General features: G+C 39.5%; 2 annotated features.

Moving 5' to 3' along the window:
- Positions 1,677-2,266: a transcriptional cis regulatory region, noted in NCBI's record as "candidate enhancer chr6.4554 targeted for multiplex CRISPR interference". NCBI's record gives its function as "positively regulates expression of the HDDC2 gene with high confidence and the TPD52L1 gene with lower confidence in K562 cells {active_cell/tissue: K562}" and the evidence as "EXISTENCE:mutant phenotype evidence [ECO:0000015][PMID:30612741]".
- Positions 5,766-5,946: a transcriptional cis regulatory region, noted in NCBI's record as "candidate enhancer chr6.4553 targeted for multiplex CRISPR interference". NCBI's record gives its function as "positively regulates HDDC2 gene expression with high confidence in K562 cells {active_cell/tissue: K562}" and the evidence as "EXISTENCE:mutant phenotype evidence [ECO:0000015][PMID:30612741]".

Genomic DNA, 6,680 nt, shown 5'->3' with positions numbered 1-6,680 from the left:
TCCTGACCTCAGGTGATCCACCCACCTCGGCCTCCCAAAGTGCTGGGATTTCAGTGTGAGCCATCGCGCTCAGGTAAATGAACAACTTTGAGATCCTGATTTGTGATGCTCTACAAACACCTGATGGTGCACACCTCCTTGCCTTTGGACAAGGTGATTCTGTCCCTGAAACGTGTCTCCTTTCTAAATCCACCACCATCATCACAATTTTCTTATCACCATGTCTAGAGGAGGCCATGCTAGGTTCTATGTTCTGGAGATAAAAGATGGATCAGACACAGTGTCTACCCTTAAGAATCTTTCTGTCTAGTATCACCATCATGATAAAACTGCTTGAGAAATACTCTATGAAATCAGAAATGTACTGCCAAAAAGTGAGAGAATTCTGCAACTTCATGGTTTGTCATTTGGTACTTCCACTTTCTGAAGTCAAGTCAGAAACAAGGGCAGTCATCAAAAAAGAAACTTTACCTAACATATAAGCTAAGAAAATTGTATTTTCAATTAGGATGAACCAAAGACACACATATTTCTTGAGATGCACTTTATATGGAATAACATTTCTGCTCAGTATTCCCTTGCGAGCTCTAAAATATGATTCCTTGGCAAGACAGCCACCTCAGATTCACCCAGTATTTACATGACATGACAACATTCTAGCATAGCTCCTCTCCAATTGAAGTGTTGTCCCCACACAGAAGACCCTAATGATTGCCAGAATCTCCACATTTCAATTTTGGAAAATCCAGGAGACCATGTAGGTACTAGAAAATATATAATCCATGGTGTTAACAAAGTTTAAGTCCTGACACAGGAGTGGAACATTGAGCAAGTTATTTAACCTTTCTGTGCTGTTTCCATACCTGTGGAAAGCAGATAATGCATTCTGCAGGCTTCTGTGGATTCAAATGATATGGTAGAGATCCCAGCAAAGGGCCTGGCACAAATTAGGTGTTGTGTAAAGAAAGATATTATCATTGTCATATAAATACTTCTTGTACTCGCTCCCTGAAACTCTTGGCCACTCCCGCAACTCCTGTCCTTTCATCGACAGTGCCCAACTGTCCTGTACTTTCAGTGAAGCAAAGCATTGCCATTTTAGTAGCTGCCCTTTTATTTAACTTTTTTTCCTTGTGTCAATATCTGTTACTTGCAATATTCCCCACTTGTTGCCTTTGTTGTTTGCCATTCCCCTTTCTTATTTTCTTCTCTTTTCCACCACACTTCTACACTTCGTGGCTTGCATGCTGACGTGGTTTGACTTTTATGACTCTTATAACATTGAAGTGGCTTTATCTTTTCTGGACATCAAACCACGGAAACACTAAGTGTCAAGTGTCATTTGGGCAAAATCCAAATCATGTTTTGGTTTGATGGTTTTACTGCTGGATACTCTAGATTTATTTTTTGTTAGACATACTTTTAACTCTTTTGCCCCTTTAATTTTCTGGTTTCTATGCCCTCCCAGATGCATAATATCACTGGAATTTTGGCCTCTAGGATAACTAAGATTTTGTTGCAAAACGTACATCTACTCTTCACTAGTTAGAAATGCACTAGAACAACAACAATAACAGTATTTCCTTTGGTTAGAAGTAAAGAAGAAATATTCCAAATGATTGGAAACTGAATATTTTCAGAAATTTTTCTTAGTTCTCGTTTCATGTAACTCATTCTGCGTATTACTTAACTTTGCTGCTGTTTTTTAGGAGTAACCATATTCCTTTATATAACAGGAAAATGCTACTACTGAGTGTATGCCATTGTTTCATTTCTTTTTCTCTGCTTGGAGAAGGATTACACCACCAGGTCTAAGACATGTGATGATTCATCACATAGCAGCTGCCAGAGGCAGTGGCAGGTCTCAAAGTCCTCTGTGAAATTCACCTGAAACCCTGCCTTATTCCTTATGATGCATGTAGATAAGCAGAGTCAAACCGTAGCTGTGGTCACTCTGAAAAGATAAAAGTTTGAGTCTATCCCATATGATAAAAATGGGGTTGTAGGGTAGCTAAAGCCTGCTGTATGACTAAGAAAAACTGTAGTCACTTAAGATGGTGATCCATGGAGAAGTTCCGAAGGCTTACTAAAACACTGGTGTAAGAGATTATGGACTCAGAGAATTAAAACAAAACAAAACAGTAACGTTGTTTTTATATATGCAGAACTTCTCCACTCCATAAGTGAGAGGTGTCCAGAGGTGGCTCCAACACATCTGTTAATGGTGATTGGTTTCGAGCCTGAAGGCCAAAGTGTCATTGCTTAGCTTCAAGTTAACTGGAAGGAAGACACGTCTTTTGTAGAGCAAAGTCTTCACCATCACTCTCAGCCATCAGAGACTTGGTTCACTCTGCTGCTGCTCCTTTGAACAGAAAGCCCTCCGTTGGCTCTTTAGTGAATGCCTGATTTTATGGGGAAAGTAGTGTGCACCCTTTGACTTTTTTTTTTTTTTTCTGTGCTGTAATACTTAGCCACAGGCAAGAAAGTGGCAAAACAGAACAAAGCCCAATCTCTTTCCCTTGAACAAACATTCCTTTTGTAATGTTCCTTCGCTCCCAGACTTAATATCCTACATTTATCTTCTTTGAGCTGAATTTCTCTACTATAACCTAATTACATAAATGATCAAAGCCATCCTCTAATTCCTCTCATCTTTCCAGTCTCTGTCAGGGGTAAGCTCGAGAGTTTTTCTACACTAATTAAAAGAGGAGATACTGTGTGAAACTTATTTGCTTACCTTATAACTCATTCACACAGTTACTATATAACTCATAAACATAGCATCAACTTTCTCTGGATTATAATTTATTGATGATGTAAGGAAAGTAAGTTTAGGCATCTCATTTTTAAACATATAGAGTGTAGTCTCCCAATCGTAGCATTATTGATGTTTTGTGCTGGATAACTGTTTGTTGCAGAAGGTTGTCATGTGCTCTGCAAGAATTTTAACAGCAGCCCTGGCCTCTGCCTCTCATTTGCTCCTCTCCTCCTCTGCCTCTTTTCTGCGACAACTAAAAATGTATTCCAATATTGCCAAATGTCCCTTTTGAGTAAAACAACCTGGATTGAGAACAACTGATGTAAACCTTTTTTATCAAGGAATATGCAGCAGGCCGATGCGGCACTTCTTCCTTGAATACCTTAAAGGAACAAATCTCTTTAGTAATCTCCCAGAATGGACTTATGAATATTTTCTGACAAAATTTCTCAGATCAATCTATCACTACCTATTTTCTTGCCCAATTCTTCATATAAATAAGTTTACAAAATCCATTCCAGGCATGTAATCTCATTGAATTTCCACAACATTAAGAATTGGGTACTAATAGCCACTGGGGAGCACCAAGTGCCACAAAAAGAAAGATTTGGAAGGAGACAGGCTAGAGTTTCAGTGCTTGCACCGTTTCCTGGCTCTAAAAACTGAGGCCAATTCTTTAGCTTTGGTGCACCTCAGTTTCCCCATCTGGAATGTGGAATCATTAATACCTTGGAGTGATAATGAGAGAATAAAACAAGATGAGAGATGTAACAATGCTTCACACTAACAGAGGCTCAATTAGCTGTACCTTTGATTATTATCGCTCTGAGTCCAGAGTTTTGTGTACTACATCACAGATACATAGCAGATTTCTCAATAGTGGCAGATTTTGCCCCTGTTCTGGCCACAGACCACTTTAAGAATCTTCTAAACAAAAAAAATTTCATAAGCAACACAAGTTGTAGACAATTTCAGGGTATCCACAGGTTCCCCTGAAATGTATATTGGATCCAAGTAAAGAGTCCCTCTAACGAGAGCCTTCTAATTTCAAACATCTTTCCTTCCAATTGACTCAAGTACATTGTGCCAAATCTCCTTCCTTGCTCACTGCTTTAAAATGGAACCACCTTCTGTGGAAATAAATTGATTCCTATTTCCTCTAACCTAATGCTAGAGGAAGATGCTTGACCAACACATCATTGAAATATGTCTTTGGTTTTGTGAAATAGAAACAGGCTTTCCAATTTCCCTTCTTCAGCAGAAAAGGGGAAGAAGGGTATTTGGTAAAAAGGGATTCAGGACATCCAACATGATTATCCACTGTATTAGTTTCCTATTACTATTGTAACAAATTACCATAAACTTAGCACAAACTTATTATCTTACAGTTCTGGAGGTCAAAATGGGCTGCATTAAGCTAAAATCGAGGGGCGGGCCACACTGCATTTCCTCCTGGAAGCTCTAGGGGAGAATCTAATTTTCCTGTCTTTTTCAGCTTTTAGAGTCTGCCTGCATTCCTTGGCTCATGGCCCCTTCTATCTTCAAAGCCAGCAATGGCCAGTTGAGTCTTTCTCCCATCACATCCCTTTGGCATTCACTCTTCTCCTTCCCTTTTCCATCTTTAAGAACCCTTGAGATTACATCTCACTCATTGGGATAATCCAGGATAATCTCCCTATTTAAAGTTCAGCTGATTAGCAAAGTTAATTCCATTTGCTACCATTCTCCTTTGCCATGTAATATAGAAATATTTGCAAGCTCTGGAAAAATTAGATATCCTTAAGAGGCTACTATTCCACCTTCTAGAGTCAAACATCTTGGTCTTTAATGATATAGTAGGAATAAACCTTGTTACGAACCCTGATGAACATCTTCAGTTTACAAAAGCAAGAAGTCGGCACTATATTTTGAGTTTTCACAGTAACAATTTACTTTTAGATAGTAATGTCCCCTCCAAAAATCCATATCATCTTTAAATAGTGTCCCTCAAAAACTATTTATACTCAATTCATAATTTTTCAGCAACTTGACGTCTTCCAACTTCTGATCACTTAGGAAACTGGAGAAATTCTTTACAGCTCACTACACAAAGTTAAGATAACTCACGTGTATTTTGCAAAGAAAGTTGCAAATACAGACAGAAATACCCATGGAAACTAAATCAAGCCTGCATGAATCAGGAGGAGCTCAAAGGAAATCAATGCATTGTTGGCAAAAGAAGACAAGGCTGCTCAGAAGGAACCGTAAGGGTTACACTGCACATTCACCAGCTAGCTTGCAGCCCCATTGCTTCATGGCACCTATCTCTTGAAAGCCCCTTACTACATCCTTCAGCAAATCCAACATCCTCATCTTCCTTATTCTCCTGGATCTTTTTGGTCATTTGCTTTCGTGTTCCTCCAGTGGACTGTCTGACTTTGCCTCTGATTCTTGATCCTTCTTTTTAAACCTTGATCCCTCCATTTTTTAATTTTTAATTTTTTAGAGACAGGTTCTGTTTCCCAAGCTGGAGTGATCATAACTCACTGCAGCTTCAAACTTCTGGGCTCAAGTGATCCTCCCATCTAAGCCTCCCAAGTAGCTGGGATAAAGGCACAAACCACACCTGGCTTGATATTTCCTTTATTTAGCACCACTTACCATCATAAAAATGGCTTCCAGGTCATTATCCTAACCACGTTTAATACAAGCCCCAATGTCCTTGGCATTTATTTGGTTCTTAGTCATATTTAATCTTGTTGCTGAACCAGTCTTCAAAAAAATTATTTCATGCCTTCTTTCTCCTTGTATTAGTCCATTCTTGCATTGCTATAAAGAACTACTTAAGACTAGGTAATTTATAAAGAAAAGGTATTTCATTGGCTGTACAGGAAGCATGGCTGCAGAAACTCACAATCATGGTAGAAGGTGAAGGGGAAGCAGGCATCGTCTTCACCTGGCAGAGCAGAAGAGAAAGAGAGCAAAGGGGGGAAGTGCTACACACCATTAACCAGATCCCATGAGAACTCACTCACTATCACAAGAACTGCAAGGGGGAAGTCTGCCACCATGATCCAATCACCTCCCACCAGGCCCCTCCTCCAACTTTGAGGATTACAGTTTGACATGATATTTGGGTGGGGTCACAGAGCCAAACTATATCACTCCTTAAACCTCAAATGCCTCCTCCTCTATTCACAAACATTCTAGCCTCCTTTCTTCCCAGAGGCCTAGCAAGATTGCACTCCACAGGCCCCCTTTGAAGTTAGACGTGGCAGTGTTACTTATTTCACCAATGATACGTAGACAAAAGGTCATATATCACTTCCAGAGACAGGCTTTAAGAGCCAGAGTGCCACTTTTCTTTTTTCCAATTTTGGCAAAAGAGAGCAAAGAAAGCCTCCTAGCTCCCTGAGTAAGGTTAGAGCAAGCAGCATCCTCTAGCTGATCTACAATAGACACTTAGCATGAGAGAGAAATAAACCTTTGATGTGTTAAACTGCTGAGATACAGGAAATAAGGAGGTTGTTTGTTATTATAACATCCCAGCCTATACTTTGCTTCCTAATTTGGTGAGAAAATAGAAGCAATCAGAAGAGAACTTCTACAACCTCCCATGACCACATGTGCGACTGATTAGTCACCCTATACTCTGTCCTCCTCCAATATTTGAATGAATTCTCCATATTCCTATCTAAAGCCCATCTTTTATCTTGTACACCAGATGGGAATATTTTTCCTTACTCAAGGCCGACATTCAAATATTTCTCTTCTTTGTCTCTTACATAATCAATGTTTCCCTTTCTACTAGATCCCCTTCATCAGTAAACATACATAATATCTCCTGTTTTGAAACAATCTCTCCACTAGTTAACAGCACCCCAACCCCATCTCCAATGTGCTGTAATACTTGCTCCTATTCTCTTCGGAATTATCTCACTAG

This window comes from Homo sapiens, chromosome 6, assembly GCF_000001405.40.
Source record: "Homo sapiens chromosome 6, GRCh38.p14 Primary Assembly".
Lineage (NCBI taxonomy): Eukaryota > Metazoa > Chordata > Mammalia > Primates > Hominidae > Homo > Homo sapiens.
The sequence above is the reverse complement of the archived record's forward strand: the minus strand, read 5'-3'. Positions and strand labels throughout refer to the sequence as shown.